Below are 25,334 nucleotides of genomic sequence, written 5' to 3'. Positions count from 1 at the left end.
GGAGGCGGAGGTTGTGGTGAGCCGAGATCGTACCATTGCACTCCAGCCTGGGCAACAAGAGCAAAACTCTGTCTCAAAAAAAAAAAAAAAAAAAAACACAACCATCTATGAGGGACAGGCTCTCACCAGACACAAAATCTGCATGTGCTTTGAACCTCCCTGTCTCCAGAACTGTGAGCAGTAAATTTCTGTTGTTTCTGAATTACCAGTCTCAGGTATTTTGTTAGAGCCACCCAAATGTACTAAGACAGAAACCCCCTTCACCATTTCCCCCTGACGCTCTCCTCTAACTCTTACCTCTGTATTACAATGCTACTCTTGGAAAGGTTTCTGTTCTCACTGTCTCAACTTCCTAACCTCCCACTCATTTCTTAACCTACAAAATACTATTAGGGCTGGGCGTGGTGGCTCATACCTGTAATCCCAGCACTTTGGGAGGTGGAGGTAGGTGGATCACTTGAGGTCAGGAGTTCGAGACCAGCCTGGCCAATATGGTGAAACCCCATCTCTACTGAAAAAAAAAAAAAATATATATATATATATATATATATGTATATAATTGCACCTCTATTGAAACACCTCATATCATAGGACCTATCCAATCTCTCTTTTTTCCCCTTCTACTCTCCTTCCCCTCCTATTTAGTGTCTTCCAAGTTCTGCATTTAGCATCTCACTCTTCTAAGTCTGTATATTCTGATCCTATCTACTTGTACACCATTATCTACCATAGGGGTTAATCCCCCATACCCTAATACCAGACATAACATCTTTCCCAGGAATAGACTCAGATCTCCAACTGCATCCTGAATGAGTCCACCTGAATATCACAAGCACCTCAAATGCAACATGTCCAATACGAAATTCATGGTCTTATTTGTCATTCTTTGAATCTGATATTCAAAATCGGTTCTTCTCCTCTGCACTATCTGTGTGTAACCTGCACAACTTCACCCACGTGCTGAAGCTAGAGCCCTGGAAGTAAATTTGATTCTTCTCTTCCCTTTTCTGTTACTATATTCAAACTGTCTTGAAGGCCCATACATTCAGTGTAAGGCTTTTACCTGAGTTCTGAGTTTAACAGTTGCTCTTTAAAGAAAGACCTCAGACATGCACATTCTAGCACTTTATTGGAACTTGGTTGTGTACATCAATGAGATCACATCAAAGTAAAAGCAGCATTTTCACACAATAATATCCCGATATCTGTGCTATCTTCTTACATAATTTAATAAATCCCAAGATGCTCCTGATTTTGGTATCGAAGAGCTTGAGTGGTCCAGAAATATCTCTACATAAATATAAATCATCACATCTAAAATAACCATCATTGTTTTAGTAGGTCCCAAAAGTCCTGGGAACACCTCTTAAAATATAATTGCCATAGGCTGGCTGCAGAGCTGGTGGGAGGGAGTGAAGGGGGTACACGTGGAGCTAATTACAGCAGGAGCTGGGCAGAGGGACACACACAAGGGGATGGGGGCCAGAGATCCCGAAAGCTGGGCAGGGAACTCAGTCACCCTGCATTTTCCAACATTGCTTGAGTGTCAAAGCTAACAGATGTGAGACTCCAGTGCAGAAAGAAGCCCATCACCCCAACTCCCTTGGCAGTGCCCAAAGATGGCACAGCCTTCCTTCAGATTACACAGGGGCAGAGATTCTGGAATGGAGAAGGTTCTGGAAAGCTCTACCCATCACCCTCCAAACTGAGAAAACATGAAGGAATGGCACCTTAAAGAAAATACTTTGGGCCAAAGTGCTGCTGGCCCCTTGGAATGGGGACAGGGTGCTCTTGGCTTGGTTTGACCTGAGGGGCACTGGCAAAGTCTGCTCTGCCCCCAGTATCTCCCTCACCACCTTTAAGGCCATCATCAGCAATCAGGTTCTCTGGTTCTTGAAAGCTTCTCAGGATTCAGCATAACACCCTTATATCTGTGGTAGCTTTACTGATCACAAACAGCTTTCACATCCACTAAGTCAGGTGGTTCTCACATCCCTATGAGGTAGAAAGGGCAGGGATCACCATCCCCATTTGAAAGATAAGGAACCTGGAACTCAGAGAGTTAGGTCCCTTGACCAAATTCACACAGCTGGCTCGTGGCAGAATCAAAACCAGAACTCAGGTCCATGCCCCAAAGTCCCTCCTGCTGCTTTTCTGAAGACAGGAAGAGGCTGGGGATAGGATGCCTGTCCTCATCCCTCACCCGGCCCTCTTGGGAGGCTCTCAAACAGCCCCACTAAGGATCGGATGAGTCCGCATGCGATAGATGATTACTGCAGTGGCTGGGCACAGCAACAACGAGGTCATGATGACAATGGTGGCCAGGATGATGAGGACAATAACCCAGATATCCAGGATGTGCTTGGGAAGCACGACTTCCATGGGGACTTGGCTGACTGCATCCATGTTGCTTCACTCTGCAACAGACAAGAAAGGAAGATCACTGTTGCGTACTCTCTCCCTGCCTCCCTGGTTAGAAGGAAACCCTCAGGAGTCAGAAGCCTGGGTCACTTACCAGATATGTAAACTTTAAGGTTCCCTGATTAGTAATTACAATGGCTTCATTTACTGAGGGCTTCCTATTGCCAGACCTGTGCTAGACACTTTATGTCTATTAACACATTCAGTCCTTACTTGAACCACTGGCCCTATAAGGCAAGGACTATAATTATTGTTTTCTATTTCTTGGCCTTTACCTTCTGTTACACCCATTTTACAGATGAGGACTCTAAAGTCTTAAAAGGCAAGATGACATTAATTTGACCGAGAACATGAACCCAGATGGGTGGGACTCCAAAGCTTTCCTGCTTAACTATTAAGCTACCATACTACCAGTCTGTTCTCTCATCTATAAAATGAGAGATGCATTGTTTTTGGTCCTATACCGCTTCTCCCATTCTCCCCTTTCTGGGGAGAACCTACCTATTCTGTGTGGTTTCGTTGGGACACTGACCTGAGTACAGGGATGGATATGTTTCCATCCCCAGTAACTTATGGAAAAATAAAATTAAAAAGGTATAAATAAATAAATTGTTTGAGCCTAACTACTTAATAAATGGAACTGCTCGGTATTTATTTTGACCTAGGGTGCTGTTAAAAAATGACTAAGACACTAAGGATTCAGTGAATTGAACACGATTGGAAACAGCTATTTGTAGTCTGCCCCTCTCCCACTCTTCCCCCCAAGTCACCAAAGTCCAAATTATCATTCTTATGCCTTTGCGTCCTCATAGCTTAGCTCCCACATATCAGTGAGAACATACGATGTTTGGTGTTCCATTCCTGAGTTACATCACTTAGAATAATAGACTCCAATCTCATCCAGGTCACTGCAAATGCTGTTAATTCATTCCTTTTTATGGCTACGTAGTATTCCATCATGTGTATATCTCACAGTTTCTTTATCCACTTGTTGATTGATGGGCATTTGGGTTTGTTCCATGATTTTGCAATTGTGAATTGTGCTGCTATAAACATGTATGTGCAAGTATTTTTTCGAATAATGACTTCCTCTGGGTAGATACCCAGTAGTGGGACTGCTGGATCAAAAGGTAGTCCTACTTTTAGTTATTTAAGGAATCTCCACACTGTTTTCTATAGTGGCTGTACTAGTTTACACTCCCACCAGCAGTGTAGAAGTGTTCCCTGTTCACCACATCCACACGAGCATTTACTGTTTTCTGATTTTCTTTTTATTATGGCCATTCTTGCAGGATTAAGGTGGTATCGCATTGTGGTTTTGATTTGCATTTCCCTGATCATTAGTGATGTTGATCATTTTTTCATATGTTTTTGACCATTTGTACATCTTCTTTTGAGAATTGTCTGTTCATGTCCTTAGCCCACTTTTTGATGGGATTCTTTGGTTTTTTCTTACTGATTTGTTTGAGTTCGTTGTAGATTCTGGATATTAGTCCTTTGTCAGATGTATAGATTGTGAAGATTTTCTCCACTCTGTGGGTTGTCTGTTTACTCTGCCGACTGTTCCTTTTGCCATGAAAAAGCTCTTTAGTTTAATTAGGTTCCAGCTATTTATCTTTGTTTTATTGCATTTGCTTATGGGTTCTTGGTCATGAAATCCTTGCCTAAGCCAATGTCTAGAAGGATTTTTCCAAAGTTATCTTCTAGAATTTTTATAGTTTCAGGTCATAGAGTTAAGTCCTTAATCCATCTTGAGTTGATTTTTGTATGAGGTGAGAGATGAGGATCCAGTTTCGTTCTGCTACATGTGACTAGCCAATTATCCCAGCACCATTTGTTGAAAAGGGTGTCACTTCCCCATTGCATGTTTTTGTTTGCTTTGTTGAAGGTCAGTTTGCTGTAAGTATTTGGGTTTATTTCTGGGTTCTCTGTTCTGTTCCATTAGTCTATGTGCCTATTTTTATACCAGTACCATACTATTTTGGTGACTATGGCCTCATAGTGTAGTTTGAAATCAGGTAGTGTGATGCCTTCAGATTTGTTCTTTTTGCTTAGTCTTGCCTTGACTATGCAGGCTCTTTTTTGGTTCCATATGAATTTTGGAATTGTTTTTTCTAATTCTGTGAGGAATGATGGTGGTATTCTGATGGGGATTGCGTTGAATTTGTAGATTGCTTTTGGCAGTATGGTTATTTTCACAATACTTATTCTACCCATCCATGAGCATGGAATGTGTTTCCATTTGTTTGTATCATCTATGATTTCTTTTTAGCAGTGTTTTGTACAAGGAAAACTACAAAACGCTGCTGAAAGAAATCATAGATGACACAATCAAACAACTTAATATGTATTTATGGCCTAACAACTTAGTAGCTGTTTGAAAAAAAAAAATACACGCAAATTGAAAAAAACAGTTTTTATTTCATTCTTAACTAGTTACTAATGGAATATATGCACCTGCTGGACACTGTGTAACTTTTCAAACTTTGGAATAATATTGGACAATGCCATCCTCACTTATTATTTCACATTAATTTTTGCCCAGTACTTGCCATACCATGCAACCACCAAAAAATCAACTTCAGGCTGGGTGCAATGGCTCACGCCTATAACCCCAACACTTTGGGAATCCAAGGTGGAAGGATTGCTTGAGCCTAGGAGTTCAAGACCAGCCTGAGCAATATAGTGAGATTTTAATTCTAATTTAATCTAATTTAATGCTAATTAGATTGGCATGGTGGCTTATATCTGTAGTCCCAGCTACTTGGGAGGCTGAGGTGGAAGGATTGCTTGAGCCCAGGAGGTCCAGGCTACAGTGAGCCATGATCACACCACTGCACTCCAGCCTGGGTGACAGAGCAAGACCCTATCTCAAAAATAATTTTTTTAATCAACTTCATAAATTATAACATTAACAAAAGGCATGTAGTAAGATTAGTGTTAAACTGTGAACTATCTTAAGCTAATCATTTGTAAAGTGTCTGAGAGATGTTGTCAAATATCACTACTTCTGTCAAAAATCTTAAACATCCTGCAGCACTCCCCTCCTTCTAGTGAGTTCACTGGGGCTCCCAGGACACTTCAGTGCTCAGCTTGGGAACCATCGATATAATACATTCCCTGCCCAGAGGGCACAAGGCTGGAACTATCTCCTGCAGGTCCTTTCAAATGTAAGGTCGATAATTCTGTGATTCTAGGTTCCAAGCAAAATTCCTAATTGCAATCCTATTTCCTATTCTTATCTAATCACTAACTTTTCCTTTCTAATGCCCTTGGCTCCATGTCCACTGTTGCCACCCTAAGTAAGGTATTGATCACCATACCCAAAGGAGAGTACCCAAGAAATACATACAAGGATGTTACTTTCTGCATTATTTGTTAAGGCAACAGACACAACAAGTGTCCACTAATAGTAAAATAAAGAAGGGTATATCTGTATAATGGGATGCCATGCAACAATTTTCATGTATTCATTCACTCACCCATTCATTCATTCATTTAACAAGTATATAGTACTTACTCCACATCAATCATTGTTCCAAATGCATTACAAATATTAATTTACTTAATTAATACAGCTACTATGAAAAACAGAATGGAGGTTCCTCAAATAATTGAAAATAGAGTCACTATATGATCTCAGTAATCTCACTTCTGGGCATATAACCAAAGGATTTGAAATCAGTATGTCAAAGAGATTTCTGCACTCCCATGTTTATTTCAGCATTATTCACAAGAGCCAAGTTATGGAATAAACCTAAGTGTCTATTAACCATGAATGGATAGAGATAATGTGGCATATACTCAATGGAATATTATTTAGTCTTAGAAAAGAAGGAAATTAGTGCCATTTGTGACAACATAGATGAACATGAGGACATTATGCTAAAGGATATAAGCCAGGCACAGAAAGACAAATATCTCAAGTTCTCATTTATATATGGAAGCTAAAAATATCAGACCCATAGAAGCAGAAAGCAAAGCCTCTGGTGGTCACCAGAGGCTGGAAGGTCGGGGGAATGGGGAGATACTGGTCAAAGGGTATTATGTTTCAGTTAGGCAGGAGGAATAAATAAGTACTGAGATAAAAAAATTAATTTATTTATTAGTCATTTAAGAGGAATCTGATCTGTAGTGAACTCCAAAAGTTTTAAGTGGAAAAAATAAAAATAAAGTGCAGAACACTTGTGTATAGGATGATTCCTTTGGTTCAGATTTTGTAGAATTAAGTAGGGAAATAGGCGAGGATATATACAGGAAAATTACTTTCTGAGTGTACTCTCAAGAAAGTGTTAATAGTGGTTACCTTTTCGGGAGCTGGACTAGGAATAAGAGGTTTTGCTTTTCATTCTTCATTCATAAAACATGATTTTATGCCGTTTGAATTTTCTCAACATGAGCATTTATTACTTCTAATTTTTTATGCCAACTGGGTTAAGGGGGCAAAGAGGCTTTTTTTTTGTTTTTGTCTTAATAATTCTCCATCTTAAAAAGTAAAAACACACATATACAATTTTAAAATCAAATAAAATTAAGAGATGAGACTAGATCAGCAGTCACCAAATGCCACATACCATGGTAAGTGACCTTAAGACAGTATAAAAGAACACTGATTTCTGGGTCTCAATCCATACATACTGAATTAGACTCAAAGGGGATGAGGAGGAGCCCTTTTTTCCCATTGTCCAGGTGATTCCAACGTGCAGCCAGATTTGGGAACCTCTGGACTCAACAAATCTTTAAGACCCCTAAGGCCTTTTCTGGCATTAAGATTTGGGAATTGATTCCCAGGTGCTCTGCAGCCAGGCTGGGCAGATCTGGGCAAGTTCCCAGATGAAGGAGAAGCCTCTGACAAAGCTCCCCAGGGCCATAGGATTATCTGCCGAGCTTGCAGAGGAGACAGAAGCACAGGCTGGCCCTGTCTCAGCCTAGGAAATGGAGTAACTTTCCCCAAGGTCTAAGACACAGAAGCATGAGTCACAGGAGACTGAAACTGTTAGAGGACCGGGGGCGGGATAAATCATTCTTTGTGGTCTCCTGACTACATCAACAGCTAGCTGCCTTAGACTAAAGGAACCCCACAAGAGTCCTTTCCTGTAAACCCTTTAACATCAAACAGTCTTCCTGACTTCAAATGCCAGGAAGACGTAATCACCCTGGCTGATTTTCATAAGCAAAGCCTGTAAGATACAGGAACTCAGGCTTCGGGGCTCATCCACAATCAAGAATCCTGGAACATTAAAGCTAGAATGAGTGCCATTTCACAGATGGTGAAACTGAGGTCCAGGGGGTCTTCTCCCTCCTGCAGTCTTACTCCTTAAGGGAATAATCATTCAAATACATAGATCTGATCGTGTCGCTGCCCCTAACTAAAACAAAACAGAACAAGTAGATGAATAAATGAAATTCTTCTGTAACCTGTATCCTAGACTGTACTAATATTACTCTTTTGCAAATGAAATTGTTATTCTAACCCCAATACCCAACAGCTAAAGTAAGGCTGCTCTAGTAGAGCCTGGAAAGTGGGGGCCTGGCAGGGGAAGCGTGCAGTCCTACCTACCCAGCAGAGCTGAATACATTATCCTCAGAGACCCTAAGCACTAGAGATGAGGGTGCCCACCCCCTTCACATATGCAATTCAAACTAAAAATAATACTACACCATAACACACAAACTTTGCATGTTACGAAATTAAAGTCGGTTCTTTCTTCTAACTGAAAAAATTGGAAAAAACTTTTCCCAGCTGTCCTTTGGCATGCCTGCTCAGTGCAGCGGGCTTACTTGGTAGGGCAGTGCTACTATTCAGTTTCCCCTCGACCCCCTGGGCTCCTCAGAACATAGTGTGAAAGCCACAAGTTGCAATGTTCTCCAAGGGCCCTTCCAGAGCTACTGTTCCAAGATTCTAAGGCTGGCCATAGAAGTAGTCGGGTGTCAGAGGGCACAGGGAGCTCTATCTCCCTGTTTCACTCTTCTCGAAACTCAAACGTGTCCTTTGCTGCACTGTTCTTCCCCATGTAACATGGGTTCCAGTCGCTTCCACCTCTCCCTACTGTCAAAGAAAAATTTTGTCTCCCAAATAAGAGCTAAGCAAACCATATCTTCAGCATCTTTAATTGCACACTAGAAATATTTGCTTGAGAAAAAGCAGGACTCTAAGCTTCTCCTAGCTGACTTCTATTTGACCTCTCTGTCATGAGTGCATAAAACCTTGTTTCTTGGTATGTCTAATATAATAGTCATAGATTAATTTATCATTTGCCTCACAGATATATTGCTTGATATTTCTTATTAATGGTTCATGTTGGATATGGCCCAAACCATTTATGTCACAAATTTATGCCTATCACTGATAAGAATATGATGTTTTTATAACCATAGGAAGTAAAACATCAATCAGGTCTAAACTCTCATTATTTTGAACCAGCATACTTTATCTGCTATTTGCCTCCTTAACAAATAATAAACTTTGACATATGTTCAATATAAGTTTGTCTAAGAAACTGCACGGAAACCACCCTGAGCTCACCAGCAGAAAAGCCACTAGCACCAAACATGCCATCCCATCAGATCACAGGCCCTATACCACCAGCCCTGTGAACTGGACACATCATTGCTCCTCCTCAGTCCATAGGGGTTAAGTAACTTAGCCAATTCAATGGAAAAGTCAACAATCCCAAAATGACTATTTTGTGTCCACTAACAAGACCAAATATAAGGTGGGGGGAAAAGCAATGTAGTTTCTACGAAAGAGGAAAAAAACTTTTTTCTTTTTTTTCTTTTTTTTTTTTTTTTGAGACACAGTCTCGCTCAGTTGCCCAGGCTGGAGTGCAGTGGCGTGATCTCAGCTCACTGCATCCTGTACCTCCCAGGTTCAAGCAAACCTGTGCCTCAGCCTCTTGAGTAGCTGGGACTACAGGTGTGCGCCACCACACCTGGCTAATTTTTGTATTTTTTGTAGAGATAAGGTTTTGCCATGTTGCCCAGTCTGGTCTTGAACTCCTGGCCTCAAGTGATCCGCCCACCTCAGTTTCCCAAAGGAGAGTGACCGCACCTGGTCAAATTTTACTTTTCCAAAGGTAAAAATTCATCCCCTCTTTTAAGTACTCCACTTGATCCAGTTTAGGCAGGCAAAGGGAAGCCCTACTGCCTGATTAGGAAACATCAAATTTTACTTCTGGGACCACTTTTCTTAAGCAATTAAAAGTTCTTTTTGCAAAAGAAAGAATCATTGTTTCGGCCAATCCCACCATTTGGCAAGTTTTCTAGTTATATAAAAATTATATAAATTTCATAAATTAAAATTTCCTACAAGTTGATAGTTTTAGGGTAACTGGATTCAAGGCAACAAGCCTGTGTTATCTACTCGTCAGACTCTCTAGCAAGCAACTTTTTCCTCTCTGACAGGACAATACTGTTTTTATTTTTGGTTCAGTATTATCATGATAAGTAACTCTGTCCAGGATATTCATTCATTTATTCATATGTCAAGTACTTGGTATTTGCAAGATACTCTCTCAGGACTTACTATTACTTACTCCTTATGACTCTGTGCTTCAAGAAGCACAGGGAAGTGAAATACCACTTCCCTTATTTCCTCAAACACAGGATCACACGAGCCAGCATTTGCTTAACAAATTGTATTTGTTTAAATTTGTAAAAACAAAAATAAATTGTTTTATTTCACAAATTTGTACTATTTGTATTTGCTTAACAAATCCCATTCATTAACTTATTAAAACTTCACAAAAATCCTATGTGGGGATTTTACAGCTATAAAAACTAAAACTGAGAGAGGTTAGCCAGCCATTGATCATAAAGCTAAGTGAACAGGATTCATACTCAGGAATCCTGATTCTGCACTTACTTACCACTACACTACAGCTACCTCCAAAGAGTCCACACAGACCCAATGTATAAGCATGGAGTATACCAGACCCACAGCTTTCTTCTAAGTCCAGGTCAAACACTGTTTTCAGCTGAAGGCCATTCCATATTTAGAGAATTAAGAAGAGATACGCAATCTATAAAGATCAGGACTTCCGATTCTGGTAATGGTGAACTAGACAATTTGGACTAGTCCTTTTACTGAAGACAGCTAGAAAAGTGGGACCAAAAAAACCTGATGGAAGGCACTAAGAGCTAATGAAATAATGAAGAATTACCAGTCTTCATTGCTTGAGAAAAAGCAGGACTCTAAGCTTCATTTAGGTTTTTTTGGTCCCACTTTTCTGGGAGAAGGCAAAAATCCAGGGAGGAGAGCCTGTCATTTTCCCCTACCGGAGAATGGAGACTGAGCAGTACTGACTCAGGAGACTAAGGGGACAAAAGTTGGAGTCCAAGACTGCCAAGAGAGGGAGAGTAAAACTTCTGCACTTTGAGCTTGGACCTTAAAAAGCACCCTTAGTGCTAAAGATGAACTGGAAGTATACTAGTCCTCCCAGAGACTACAACTCAGCTTTGCATTATCATAGCTCCTGAAATTAAATTAAGGAATCTCCAGGTGCTTGGTAGAAGCAAATATACATCCTCTCTGGAGGCAATATCATCATGATAGGTCTCAAATTATGTTTTGTTTACAAATATAATGTCCAACACATAACCAAAATTAATCAAGAATGCAAAAAGACAGGATGATAAAAACAAAATAATCAGAAACAACAGACAATAGAAAAAAAAGTCTACCGGGGCTCCAGATATTGGAGTCATCAGACAGACACATAGTTCAAATAACTTAGCTTACTATGTTCAAGGAGGAAAAAACTCCAAGTTTGAGAATTTTGACAGAGAATTTGAAATTATAAGAAAGAATAAACAGATTTTTTTAAAAGAATCAAATAGAGGTTACAAGTGGTGGCTCACACCTGTGATCTCAGCACTTTTGGAGGGAAAGGCAGGTGGATCACTTGAGCTCAGGAATTCAAGATCAGCCTAAGCAACATGGCAAAATCCCATCTCCACAAAAAAAATTTTAAAATTAGATGGGCATGGTGTGCACCTGTAGTCCCAGCTACTCAGGAGGCTGAGGTGGGAGGATCACTTGAGCCCAGGAGGCTAGGGCTACAGTGAGCCATGACTGGGCCACTGCACTCCAGTCTGGGTGACAGAGTGAGACCCTGTCTCGAAAAACAACAACAACAAAGAGAACCAAATAAAAATTCTAAAACTGAAAAATATAATAGAAATTTAAAATTCAGTAGATAGGCTTAAAAATTCAGTAGATTAGCCATAGTAAAAGAGAGAATTAGTAAACTGGAAAAAAGATCAGGGGAAAATACTTAGAATGAAGTAAGGATAAACAAAAGGATGGAAAATACAGAAAAAGAAATAGGTAAGAGAGATAGAGGAAACAGTGACAAGGTACAACATAAATATACTGGAGTATCAGAAGGAGAAAAGAAAGAATGAAGCAGAACAATATTGGAGTAAATAATAACAGAAGTTTCCAAAACTGATGAAAGACACCAATTTGCATACTAAAGATGTCCCATGAACTCCTAGCAGAATACATAAATTGGAATCCATAATTAGAAATATAGTAAATCTGGCCAGGTACAGTGACTCATGCCTGTAATCCCAGCACTTTGGGAGGCTGAGGTGGGCAGATCATTTGAGGTCAGGAGTTTGAGACCAGCCTGGCCAACATGGTGAAACCCTGTCTCTACTAAAAATACAAAAATTAGCCAGGCGTTGTGGCACACGTCTGTAGTCCCAGCTACTTGGGAAGCTAAAGCAGGAGAATCATTTGAACCCAGGAGATGGGGGTTGCAGTGTGCCAAGATGGCACCACTGCGCTCCAGCCTGAGCAACAGAGTGAGACTCCATTTCAAAAAAAAAAAAAAAAAAAAGAAAAGAAATATAGTAAATCTGCTGAGATCCAAAGATAAAGAGAAATAAGACAGAATATCTTTAAAAGAGAAACAGTTAGATTGACAACCAACTTCTCAACAGAAACAATGGAATTTAAAAACAGCAGAATGATCTCTTCAAAGAGGTGAACAGAAATAACTGCCAAGAATAATGGTGCAATAAGACATTTTCAGGCTAGGTGCGGTGGCTCACACCTGTAATCCCAGCACTTTGAGAGGCCAAGGCAGGCAGATCATTTGAGGTCAAAAGTTCAAGACAAGTCTAGCCAACATGGTGAAACCTGTCTCTACTAAAAATACAAAAATTAGCCAGGTATGGTGGCACACGTCTGTAATCCCAGCTACTCGGGAGACTGAGGCAAGAGAATCGCTTGAACCTGGGAGGCAGAGGTTGCAGTGAACCAAGATTGTGCCACTGCACTCCAGCCTGGGCAACAACGCGAGACTCCATCTCAAAAAAAAAAAAAAAAAAAAAAGACATTTTCAGAAAAAAAAAATACAGAATTAAAGTATTCAAGAGCAATAACAAACAAATTCTGGAAGAAATAGAATTAAAGTATTTTGATTTTCTTGTATTGCCTAAGAAAGGGCAGAAGAACCAAATCATATTAGACTTTGTTAAATCAAGGATGCATATTGTAACCTCTATGGTAGCCACTAAAAATATCAGTCAAAGAGTGCATAATTTCCAGCGGAAAACAGGAGAGGAGAAAAACAACAACAAATACTTAGAATAAAGGGGACAAATAGAAAGCACAGAGAAAGATGGTAGATTTAAACCCAAACTAACAAGGACCGTTAGGGTACATATAAATAAGGATAAAATATACACATACATATATATTTTTTATAAGAGACACATGGGGATTGGAAGGGTTAAAAAGTCAAAGGATACAAATGAAACACCGTGTAACCATGAATCACATACGCTGGTAGTCCCTTACTAGTATAAGGCCAAGTAGACTTTTAGGCAGAAAGTATTACTAAAGATACCAAAAAGGTAAAGTGATTTTCTATTTTTAGGTACCTAATCTCAGAATTATAAGGAGAAATAGACAAATCTGCAATTATAGTGGGAGATTTCAAGATGTCTCTCTCAGATCTTGTGGGGAAAGGCAGGATGAGCAGAATAGATGTTATCAACAAAGCCCAGAGTTGATGAGATACATGAAGTGTTGGAAGCATATGGAGTCCTGGTGGCTTTGGCAAGAGGTTTAACCTCTTTGAGCTTTAGTCTCCTAATTTGTAAAATGGAAATAATAACTAATAATTGTAACCACTTCATAGGGATGCTCTGGAGGTTAAATGAGCTAATGCGCATAAAGCACTTAGGACAACGTCTGGTACACAGTAAGGGCTTCACGAAGTTAAGCTGAGCTAGTGAACCCGGCATCGTTCCTAAATCACAAGGTCAAGAGATGGAGACCATCCTGGCCAACATGGTAAAACCCTGCCTCTACTAAAAGTACAAAAATTAGCTGGGTGTGGTAGTGCACACCTGTAGTCCCAGCTACTCGGGAGGCTGAGGCAGGAAAATCGCTTGAACCCAGGAGGTGGAGGTTGCAGTTAGCCAAGATCACACCACTGCTCTCCAGCCTGGTGACAGAGTGAGATTCCGTATCAAAAAAAAAAAAAAAAAAAAAAAGGGAGTTCAAAGCCTCTGCCATTAGTTAGGGTGCCGTGACTGCTTCGTGACTGATCTGGGCCCAATGTAGGAAACCACAGTGAAAAGTTTTTTTAAGTAAAAAAATTTTAAGCTGTCCCCAGCTTGAACCTCCCACCGGAAACTTACACCCTCCACATCCGAGCTGCAACTAACAGTCAACTTTTGAGAGCTTGCCAATGGTTATCCAACCGGTTTTACTGCCAGAGTTCACTGAGGAAGAAGGCAATAAAAGAAGTGACTGCCTGCTGGCAGGCAAGCTTAATTATCTCAAAGTGGGAGACAAGGCAGATAGAGGCAGGTGGCTTCCTGCAGGTGTGGCCTTAGCCCAGCACTGCCAGAACTCTGGGCAGACCATGCTGCTGCTGTTTTGTTTCCACCAGCCACGGTGGCCAGAGAGCAGACAGCTATAACCAGCTCCAAGTCACTGATGCTGAGGCGTCCAAAGATACATGACTCTTCAAGTATTTTGCAGAATGTGAACAAGGCTGATGGTTCCCAGGGCACAGGACTAGAGGGTTTGCCAGCATTGTCCACCTTATAGGACCCCTTCCAAAAAGTCTCCACCCTCAGAAGATGCTGCTGAGGTTGTCAAGGAAGAATGGAACATTTAAGCCAGAGAGGGCAATTCAAGTTCCTAGATGGGGCCACACTGGCCACTTTGTAGCCTGGGGAACCTAACAACTGTGTCCCAGGGGCTGATCCCACTTGAAGAACTTTGTGTTTGCTGTTCCTTCTCAGAATGCTCTTTTCCTCCCCTGTCCATTGTCTCAATGTCCATGACCTCAACCTAAATGTTACGTTTTAGTAAAGTTTTTCCCGACCCACTCTGTTAAACTATCACTCTTATCTTGTTTTATTTTCTGCATATGCTTTTCACAATCTAAAATTAGCTTGTTTGTTGCTTGTTTGTTTTTATTGGCTTTTTTCCTATCAGGCTAAAGACTTGTTCATTTGCTCCCTCAAACGCAAGCACAGGGAGAGCAGAAGCCTCACCTCTTGTGTATTGCTGTGTCCTCAGCACCTATCACAGGGCCTGGCATATCACAAGTGCCAACAAATATGAAATCAATGAAGAAATGAATATGGGAAGATTATTTCAGATGTGAGCTCACTCGTGGAACCTAATTGACTGAAGAGGTCCAGAAAGAATCCTCATCCCTGCAAAAGTCCCAGTGATTCTAAAAGTCAGAACACTATCTCCAAAATAACATGATGTCCTCTGATTTTATCATTTTCTGGGCTCTTTGTACATTCAGGAAGGATTATGGGGGGCTCTTTCTTCCCCAGCCCACCCTGTACATACCAGGCAGAAGAGAACTGGCCTTTCAGAACGAAGCCCTCTAGGATTCCCACTTGTTGATTTGCTTGGGCCGATAAGCTCAAATTCGAGTTCTGACTCCATGTGCTCAGGAGCTGGGGACTGAGGTGGGGAGGAGGGACCAGGGGTGAGGGGAGCAGTGATGTTGCCCAAGATGTGAATCTTTCTGTTCTTAGAAGAGGTCAGGGAGGCTGATAAAAGTGGGGGCAGGTTTCCCATGCCAAGTCCAATATGAGAAGGACATACCAGCTTCACATTTACTCTTGGAAGTATTTCTCCTCCCACTGTGTAACAGCCTCAAACATTTACCAACCCAGCACAGTCATTTCACCAGGGACCTTTGGTCCAAATAAAGGGGCCAGAGGAAGGAATGGACAGGACATACAACTACCAAAAATGTGAAATGAATCAAATCACAGCCTTTTCTCCAATGACCCAAAGTCCCTAAGGAGCACTCTGTTCTCATTTCACCCCAACTGGCCCCTGTCTCTCCAAACTTCCTAACAGACTACAGACCTGCCTGAGTTTCCATCTGCTCCTCTGTGGCTGGAAAAATGGAAAAACACCAAGATATTTCAAAGAGATCGGAACACAGCCAGAGCTGTGTAAGACCGCACGTACCATCTGACCCAGCCAATCACAGAGTCTTAGAAACCAACAGAGAGCTAGCAGAGGAGAAAGCCCAGGCCAAATCCCCAGCATCCTGTTTAAGGCACTACTATCCATCATTGCTATTTGCCAGTGACTAAGTGCCTGCTGTGTGTCGGGCTAACAAAGGAGACTGTCCATGAGAGGTGCTGGCAGGGTGCTCCGTGACAGAGCTGCAAGAGCACCGGGCGGTGGTAGTGCCTTGCCTCAATGTGTGAGCCTCAACAGGTCGCTCTCCCAAAGTCAGCCTCATGTGTGTGGAAAGCAGAATAATGCCCACCACCACCACCACCAAAGACATCTATGTCCTGGTCCCCAGAATCTTGAATATGATCCTATATAGTGGGTCACTAGCAAGAAACATATCCAATCAGCCAATCAGAGTGCAAATCAATAAAATAAGGAAGCTCTATCTATACACAACTAAGCAATTTAAAGTATATGGTTTAGACGTGGAATCTAGCTTGCTGTTGTTTAATGTGCCAGGCAATTATACTTCTGAGCAGTTCCCCTTCCTAACTACCTAATTCTTAGCCTTTACTGCTAGATGTCTCCATTATCTCTTGAGGTTCACCTTCTGTTTCCCTAGTGAGTTGGAAGGATACTAGGTCTCTAGGGATCCACTAGAACAGTGACTATCAAATTCTCACTTAACTTCTCTCAGGTCACCCTGAAAGTAAGTGACAGAGGCAAGATCTGAACCTAGTTCCCCCCAATTCCAATGAAGTTCAGAGAATAGGCCCTGGAGCCAGGGTGCCTGCGTTCAAATTACAGCTCTGCCACTTACTTTCTGTGTGATCATGGGTGAGTCACTCTCTCTGGACCTCAGTTTCCTCATCCATAAAATGGAGGTGATGACAGTCCCTCCCTAATAGGATTGTGGTAAAGCCTAAATGAGTTAATACAAGTAAAATGCTTAGAGTCATGCCTAGCTTATAGTAAGTACTCAGTAAATGGCAAGTATGATCATTATAACATCATTCCGCTTACTGGGCCAGTCAGGGTGGGGGAGGACAAGGCAGGGTGTCGCAATGCCAACACTTACTCCTATACCTCAATAAACTGTGTTTGTGAGTACACGTGCCCATTTTTTATACCACCGCCACACCCAACCAAGATATTCTCTTTCCTTGGAGGTATTTCCTTTGCATGTTTCAATCCATAGAGAAGAAATGGAGGCACAACGTTTAAAGGATTGGCGTATGGCTGAGAAAGCATCTGAGGCTGTGACTGGCCCTTATCCCCTTGGTCTGTCACCCCCAAGGGCCCAGGATCTGACCTGACCACAGGCCCCCAGAGTCTCTCATTTGTTTTGCATCTCTAACACCTCACCGCGACTCAGTGGTTCTCTGGCTGTTCTCTGGGACTCCCCAGATCTTTAGTGTCATGGAGCCACAGTTCTGAGGTTCGGAGAGGTCACTTGTGGGAGAGTTCATGAAGCATGACTTGTAACCCCCACAGCATGATTCACAGTCCCAGGACAGCTGGGAACAGGAGGTCCCGGCTGGAGCAGGAAAACACTTTTTAGTTTTTTTCAGTTGTCACTGCAGAAGCACATGATGTCCTAAAGCTCAGCTGTGCTGCTTTGCGTGTGTCTAGATGGCTGCTGTGCGGCCTGCATAAACCAAAGAGCATGTCATGCTCAACCACAGACAAACATCTGTTCCACTCCCATGTCTTCATTTTACAGATAGGGAAGACAAGGGCCAGAGAGGGGAAATGCCTCCATTAGGGTAATTCAGAGGGTCTCCTAACCCCCAGAGTACCTGTTCTTCCCGCTCCCACCTCCACCTAATTCAGGCATCCCCAATCCTTCCAAACTATGTGGCCACTGCAGTAGCAGCACGCATCATAGCAGATGTTCAAGGAATCTCTGATACTTGTGTGATTGCGCAGCCTTCACCACCACACCCTGGAGCTTTGAGGACCTTAGTATTCACCACAGATGAACCGGAGACTCCTCAGCCCCCAGGTGCAGCAGGATTCCAGCTGGTCCAGAAGAAACAAGTGCAGCTGCATAAGTAAGAGCCCAGCCTGGCCCTCAATCAGAATAACAGCCCCTGAGGTTTGTTTCAATTTGTGGGGGGGGCGGGGGGGGTTACACCTTTCATCCTTTCACTCAGTACATATGTATGGAGCACCTACTGTTAGCCAGGCCCTGCTCCAAGAGCTGAGAATGCCTCAGAGATGACGATAGACAGGCAGTCCCTACCCTCAAGAAACTGGCATGGGGGAGACTAGGGAGCAAAACAACCAGCAACTGGAACAACTACGTCCTCAGGAAAGGGACAGCTAACCAGCAGGAGGGAGCTTGAAGGAAGCCTTCTCTCCAAGATACTTTGCTCATGTCCTTTCTCCTTTGCTTTCTGCACGCAGAAAATGTTTTCCCAATTTCACTGATGGAAAAACAAGGATGGTGAAGCAGTTAGTGACAGAACCAGGGCTGGAACCCGCCACTCCTGACTCCAAACTCCTGGCGCCTTCTACACGGGGCCTCGAGAAAAGCGGGACAGGTAAGTGCAAAGACCCAAACCCAGCGCAGCGCCCAAGCAGGTGCTCAGGCCCGGGCGCTGAACCCTGACGCTGGGCCTGGAGAGCCAGGAGGTGGCAGTCTGCCCGAGGAGGAGGCTTCCCGAGAAGGCAAGGGCAGCGGACCCGGAGAGAAGCCAGTCTCCGAGTGGGGCTGGGGTTCGCCCACCCAAGCTCCGCCTCCCCCAGGCCCAAAATTCTGTGCACTAGGAGGCTCGAACTTAAGAGCTGACAGCAGGAGAAAAAGGAGGGGGTGAGGGCAAGAAATACAAAAGTGATGAAAAGGGAGAAATGGGGAGGAGAGACCGGACATAAAGAAGAACGTTGGGAGCCCGGGGAAAGGGGCCGCACTAGAGGTAGGTCGCGAATCCGAAGAGCTCCGCTCTGCCAGAGCCCCACAAACAATCCCCCGGTGGCCCCACTCACCCCAGATGGCGGCGAGTCTGCGGAAAGTTCCTGGGTCAGGGATGGCTCGGTGCTTCTCAGGGTCCCCAGGACTGCACGGGATCTGGCAGCTGGAAGCGACCCCCAGGCCTGGAACCTCAGCCCTAGGCAGCTCCTGGAACGTGCCCCGGCTCCTCCGAGCCCCGGGAGGCGGGAGAGCGCAGGAGCGGCCAGGACGCGCTGCTGGCTCTGGAATGCGCGGCTGCTGGGGACCGCCCCCGGAACGCCCGGTCCCGGGGCCCCGGCAACTCCAGCTCAGCTCCTCCTCCAGCGTCCCCTGCGGGCTGCGTTCGGGGAGAAAGGAACCTGCGAGAGAAGGGAGAGACCAGGGCGTCTCGGGCTCCCCTTCCACGTTGCCACACACTCGCCGCGTAGCCGTGGACATGTCGCTTGGCTTCTGAGGGTCTCCCCTCTCTGGATTGTAAACCGAGAGGGTTGGCCTAAAATGTGTCCTCCACGACCTTTCCAGCTATAGAGTAGACATGGGAAAGAAAGCCTAGCAAGTAGGTTTGGACAGAGGAGCCGGGACTCAGATCCTGCTTTGCGATGTCCGAAGTGTAGGGTCCTTCGGAGGCTTTGCCACTCTGTTTCATTCTCTGTAAAGTGGGAAAGGTAACACCTGTCTCCCAGTCCTGTTGTGAGGATTGGTTTAGAGGACCAGTGTGAAGCTGGTTGGTTCTCTGCCATAACATGACTTGGAGCATCCTGTTTATTTTGTGATAACAATGAAATAGCCCAATCCAAGGTGATCAAGAGCCCATTAGAATCCAGCATCTGAGAGGCTTCCCACGCCACTGTGGGTGGCCCAGCTTCCACGCAGGACAATGCCAATTCTGTAATCTTCTGCCCCCTCTATGTCATCCATGGAGTGAGGGGGGACTCCCGTCCCATGTTGGCACCCACACTTTTTAATTCACAGTGGTTTTCTTTAATCTTACTCTTCTGAAAAAAAGGAGCACAAGCCTTGACTATCAGTGAGACCTTGAGCAGTCTTGGAGCCCAGTAGTGTTTTGGAGGGTTTGGAAAGAGCCATACTGCCTTCCCCAGGCCTAAATTTGATATGGTGTGGGCCCCGAACTTAGAACTTACTCCATGCTGTTTCCTCTGATTCAGGGATGAGGTCAGCAGAAATGACCTCTAAATCATCATTATCACACGCCAGTTTCTTAAGGGAAGGACAGTGAGGATGAAGGGGATTCACATGAGAAATGATTTGAGAAAAACCCTAAGGGCTGTCACCCAACAACATGTTTTATTCAAAAGAGATAGTGTGGGAACCTAAAAACAAGGACAACCCAATTCTGAATAGTTTAATACAAAGCTCTCATTTAATAGTAAAAAAAGATTGAAGGAGGACAATCTTTTTTTTTTTTTTTTTTTTTTTTGAGACGGAGTCTCGCTCTGTCGCCCAGGCTGGAGTGCAGTGGCATGATCTCGGCTCACTGCAACAGGAGGACAATCTTAATATGACATTTTCCCTGGTTAGTGAAGGGGATGAGAGTTCCTTTGGGTGGACAACTGGTAACTCCATGTGCCCTGCTGTGAACATTGGCTTCCCTCTGGGACAAGGCAGAAGCTCAGGCCTGGAGCCAGCTGAGTCCTAGTCTCCCTTTCCATTTAGCAATTTATTAGTATCTCTTTAATATCGACTTGCCCTGGGACCCTAAAAGCAAGCCAGAAATAAAGTATGAATCCCCACAGGAGCATACCATGTTAAGTCTGCTGCCTAGGCTAGACTGATTTTGCAAAGAGAGCACTGAAGGGAAGAATAATGGATGCTGTGTTGGGATGCAGGAGTGGGGGAAATAGTCAATTTCAGCAACAAGCTTTTGTTACAGCAAAAGCCAGAAAACAGCTCACAACTTCCTTGGTCCTCTATTACAACCACTCCAAAGAGAAAACCATCAGGACCTGAAAGAAATAAGTAATACTCTCTTAGAGAGCCCCTGATACTTTGGGGAACTTGTACAGAAGAAGTTGTAGTCTAATGACATTGGCTGCCATCAAAAGACGGCCTTGGCCAGGGGCAGTGGCTCATGCCTGTAATCCCAGTACTTTGGGAGGCCGAGGCGGGCAGATCACCTGAGGTCAGGAGTTCGAAACCAGCCTGGCCAACATGGTGAAACCCTGTATCTACTAAAAACACAAAAATTAGCCAGGCGTGGTGGCGGGCGCCTGTAATCCCAGCTACTGGAGAGGCTGAGGCAGGAGAATCACTTGAATCCCAGAAGCGGAGGCTGCAGTGAGCCGAATTGCCCCACTGCACTCCAGCCTGGGCAATAGAGTGGGACTCTGTCTCCAAAAAACAAACAAACAAACAAACAAACAAACCACTGCCTAAAGAGGCCCCCATTAGGATGCAATCCATAGCAAATACCCTCTTTAAGAATCATATCTACACGAGACATTTTCTTTTCATTTTTCACTTGTACAAATATATTTATTTACTTTTGGGGAATAATATGACATATTGTATTAGAAATCAGAAAACCAGTATTTCGAGTCTGTCACCCAGTAGCCCACCCAAGCTCCATAAAATAGTAAAATGAGACCTATTCCTCACATCTGGTACAATTATGATGAGTAAATATTTTATTCATATACAGCAGACCCCTGAATAACATCCTTCTGTTATAACGTTGATGAGGAAAAAAAATTGTTTCCCTGCTGGGATCACCGTCTGTGTGGCATTTGCATGTCCTCCCCATGTCTTCCTGGGTTTTCTCCAGGTACCCCGGTCAGTTTCCTCCCACATCCCGAAGATATGCATGTTAGGCAAACTGCTGTGTCTATGTAGTCCCAGTGTGAACGATTGTGGGTGTGGGTGAGTCTGCTCTGCGATGTGATGGCGTCCTGTCCAGGGCTGGTTACTGCCTCGAGCCCTGAGCTGCCGGGACAGGCTCTGGCCACTGAACTCTAAACTGGAATAAGCAGGTAAATAATTCTCTTCCTTGTTTTTACTAATCTTTCTTAAATGTATGTATGGTTCACAATTATTTCAGTGTTCAATATTGGAAGTGTTTTAGTCTTTATTTAGAAGTTTGGTGGTACTTTTGTTATCAGAAATATGCTGTAGGAACTTAACTCTTCTTTCTGTCCATTTGTCTATGGTAAAATTGGTTTCCTTATACATAGTTTCACTCAAAATCAAAGTGTCCAAAACCTGTTGAGGAGGCTGAGTGAGGACTTACTGTATTCCTTCATTCAAAGCTATTTATTGAATATCTCCTACATGTTCTAGGCACTAAGGAAGACAAATTATCTTTATTTATTGTGCTTACATCTACTGGGAAAATATTCACAAAAAATAAGTAAGCAAATAAATAAGCAAGATGATACCGGTTTGCGAAACCATGAAGAACATAAAGCAAGATGATGAGAGAGTGATGGAGAGTGTTTTATCATGGAGATTGTAGTTAAACTGAATTTCCTAAATAGTTTATATCATCAATGATTATGTTACTCTGTAATATATCAACTTAATTTCCAAGGTCTTTAATTAACTGAGAATTTAGATTGATACTAAATCAAGTAAACTGGTGAATAATCTTAGCTGCTTGGATAATTTCTAAGAAAGATAGAATACAAAAACATTGGTCACCAAGCATGGTATTGAACACCATTTGCACACCTTTGCCTCTTATTTTTATATGTTTGAGAGTTGATAAACCTTTGGATTATATTAACGTATATGTTTTATTTTACCACTTAAAGAAATGCAAAAGGAGTCAGCACAGTGACTCACGCCTGTAATCCTAGCACTTTGGGAGGCTGAGGCTGGTGGATCTCTTGAGGCCAGGAGTTCGAGACCAGCCAGGCCAACATAGTGAAACCCTGTCTCTATTTAAAAATACAAAAAATTAGCCGGGAGTGGTGGTGCACATCTGTAACCCCAGCTACTCGGGAGGCTGAGGCAGGAGACTTCCTTGAACCTGGGAGGCAGAGGCTGCAGTGAGCTGAGATCGTGCCACTGCACTCTAGCCTGGATGACACAGCAAGACTCTGTCTCAAAAAACAAAACAAAACAAACAAATATATATATATATATATATATATATTTATATATAATTTTTATATTTTTAGTAGAGACAGGGTTTCACCATGTTGGCCAGGCTGGTCTTGAACTCTTCACCTCAGGTGATCTGCCTTCCTCGGCCTCCCAAAGTGCTGGTATTACAGGCATGAGCCACTGTGCCCAGCCTGCTTCATATTTCTTAATTGGCTCAATAATGTTGTTAGAATTTCATTATATATTAAGCCCACATGATGTTTAATAAATAAGTTGTCTTCCTTATGTTACTTTTTAAAGTAGATTTGTCCTTGTCCCCATTACCCTTGAGAATACACTGACAAAATCCATAACACAGTAGAAGATTTTATTCTCCCCTATTCTGATATAGTTGTTTACTGTAATAAATTAATAGAGCCTTAAATTTAATCAACAAAAGGTGGTTTTTATTTTTCTTCCATGCTTGCCTAAAGACCTCTGCTATAAGCTAAAGAGGTCAACAAAGGACAGCCCCAGAGCCTTGGTGGAAAAGATTTTATCAGATGCTCTTAGCTAGAATAGACTTACAGCCCCAGCCTTATCAGTATTCGCTGACTTCTGACCACAAGTAGACATCTATAGACTGAACCACAGCACTGAATCAGGATTGCTAGGACTCTTTTGTCCTGAAGCAACAAACCATGGAAGTATACTGCTGATCCAAGATTTGTGAGTCAAGAATGAATCACATTAGCCTAATAAGCCAACAAGGGAAATATAATCATGATTATTTGTTTTGGAATAGTGTTAGATTGTTTTTAATGTCCCATTTTCTGATGAGTGTAAGAGGAAGTCCTTTCTTCTTCATCTATTGCTAACCCTCATTTTAACAAACTATGCTTATTGCAAACTGAAATGAAATATTTTTAATGATACCTTGTTCCCACTGGCCCATCAGAATTTGAGAGTAAATATTTTTACTGAATCCTTGGCTATGTAATTATTTGAACAGATTCAACGAATCTGCCATCCTTTTTACCAAGATGTATTGAAAAAATCAATCATATAATCAAAGCCATCCAAAGAGTTATATTTGAGAATAAATTTCATTTAATCAGCTATAATCACATAACCATTAAAGAATAAGTGTAGTACTTCCTTTGCAGAAGCAAGGCTACAAAGCCTTCCCAGAAAACTGATCTGGTACCTATTATTTGGCTTACAGGGTTCCAGCATTGTGCTAGTAATGTGTATTAGGCTTCTCTTGCATTGTCATAAAGAAATATCTAAGCCTGGGTAATTTATAAAAGAGGCTTAACTGGCTCACGGTTCTGTGGGGTGTATAGGAAGCATCGCTAACAGTCATGGCAGAAGGTGAAGCAGGAGTAGGCACGTAACATGGCGAAAGCAAGAGCAAGAAAGAGAGGGGGAAGGTGTCACACACTTTTAAACGACCAGATCTCAAGATAACTCACTATCATGAACACAGTACCAAGGGGATGGCACTAAACCATTCATGAGAAAACTGCCACTATGATCCAGTCACCTCCCACCAGGTCCCATCTCCAACAGTGGAATTACATTTCAGCATGAAATTTGGGCAGGGACAACATCCAAACTATATCATAATGCTTACTTACCATCAGGCCAGCAAATTTAGCAAACGCTAAGGCCCTTGGGAAAAGAGAAAGTCACTCACTTTTAAAGACTGCATATAAAATCAGATGGAAATTAATGTCTTGGCTCTGGTTTTCTGATATTGGAATAAATGAGCAAAGAAGAAAAATTTTAAAATATAAATTATTACCCTAGAAAAATATTCATTTGATGCAAAAGAAAGCAATAAAGGAAGAATAAAAGAGTGAACATACTTGAAAGATATAAAAACAAAAAGTGAAATAGCAGATTTAAATCCAGCTATATCAATAATAACATTAAATGCAAATGGATTCAACAGTCCTATCAAAAGGCAGTGATTATCAGATTGGATTTTAAAAAATGCAAAGAACAAGATCCAACCTATATTCTGTCTTCAGGAGGCACACTTTAGATTCAAAGATATAAATAGATTGAAAGCAAAAGAAAGGATAAAAAATATATATATACATATATATAACGCAAACAGCAACCATAGGAAAGCTGAAGTAAAAATAAAGATTATAATGGAGCTGAAAAATCCCTATCACTTAGTGACATCGTAGCCATTGTAACATGATAGCACAACACATTATTTATGTGTTTGTAGTGATGCTGGTTTAAACAAACCCACTGCATTGCCAGACATATAAAAGTATAGCACATACAATTATGTACAGTACATAATACTTGATAATAGTAATAATAAATGACCATGTTACTGGTTTTTAAAAAAGAAAGCCAAAGTGGCTATATCAGTAATAGAAAAAGTAAAACAAAAAGGCCTGGTGCAGTGGTTCATGCCTGTAATCCCAGCAC

At 42.3% G+C, this 25,334-nt stretch overlaps 2 protein-coding genes across 3 annotated transcripts, besides 4 other annotated features; one reads left to right on the top strand and one right to left on the bottom strand.

The window, feature by feature from the left end:
* Positions 1–1,112: 1,112 nt before the first annotated feature.
* Positions 1,113–19,090, bottom strand: SMIM3 (small integral membrane protein 3). The gene is made up of 2 exons (NM_032947.5): positions 18,875–19,090; positions 1,113–2,417 (listed from the first exon to the last, which is right to left on the bottom strand). Exon 2 carries the CDS (start codon positions 2,404–2,406, stop codon positions 2,224–2,226), a length of 183 nt encoding a protein of 60 aa, NP_116565.3. The 5' UTR covers positions 2,407–2,417; positions 18,875–19,090; the 3' UTR covers positions 1,113–2,223.
* Positions 6,734–7,712: an enhancer, noted in NCBI's record as "H3K27ac hESC enhancer chr5:150169697-150170675 (GRCh37/hg19 assembly coordinates)". NCBI's record gives its function as "activates a minimal SCP1, AML or CMV promoter by ChIP-STARR-seq in primed H9 embryonic stem cells {active_cell/tissue: H9 hESC(primed)}" and the evidence as "EXISTENCE:reporter gene assay evidence [ECO:0000049][PMID:30033119]".
* Positions 7,713–8,692: an enhancer, noted in NCBI's record as "H3K27ac hESC enhancer chr5:150168717-150169696 (GRCh37/hg19 assembly coordinates)". NCBI's record gives its function as "activates a minimal SCP1, AML or CMV promoter by ChIP-STARR-seq in primed H9 embryonic stem cells {active_cell/tissue: H9 hESC(primed)}" and the evidence as "EXISTENCE:reporter gene assay evidence [ECO:0000049][PMID:30033119]".
* LOC124901110 (uncharacterized) lies at positions 17,446–22,645 on the top strand. 2 transcript variants are annotated; one of them, XM_047417995.1, is made up of 2 exons: positions 17,446–17,940; positions 18,296–22,645. In XM_047417995.1, exon 2 carries the CDS (start codon positions 18,726–18,728, stop codon positions 19,365–19,367), a length of 642 nt encoding a protein of 213 aa, XP_047273951.1. In that variant the 5' UTR covers positions 17,446–17,940; positions 18,296–18,725; the 3' UTR covers positions 19,368–22,645. The 2 variants fall into 2 exon arrangements, with proteins under 2 accessions (XP_047273951.1, XP_047273950.1); XM_047417994.1 differs by having other exon boundaries at positions 17,446–17,984.
* Positions 17,707–18,568: an enhancer, noted in NCBI's record as "OCT4-NANOG-H3K27ac-H3K4me1 hESC enhancer chr5:150158841-150159702 (GRCh37/hg19 assembly coordinates)". NCBI's record gives its function as "activates a minimal SCP1, AML or CMV promoter by ChIP-STARR-seq in naive and primed H9 embryonic stem cells {active_cell/tissue: H9 hESC(naive and primed)}" and the evidence as "EXISTENCE:reporter gene assay evidence [ECO:0000049][PMID:30033119]".
* Positions 19,006–19,195: a silencer, noted in NCBI's record as "silent region_16517". NCBI's record gives its function as "represses an Ori minimal core promoter by ATAC-STARR-seq in GM12878 lymphoblastoid cells {active_cell/tissue: GM12878}" and the evidence as "EXISTENCE:reporter gene assay evidence [ECO:0000049][PMID:35858748]".
* Positions 22,646–25,334: the final 2,689 nt, after the last annotated feature.

Source organism: Homo sapiens, chromosome 5 (genome assembly GCF_000001405.40).
Source record: "Homo sapiens chromosome 5, GRCh38.p14 Primary Assembly".
NCBI classification, from domain to species: Eukaryota; Metazoa; Chordata; class Mammalia; order Primates; family Hominidae; genus Homo; species Homo sapiens.
This window is presented reverse-complemented; position numbering and strand designations above follow the sequence as displayed.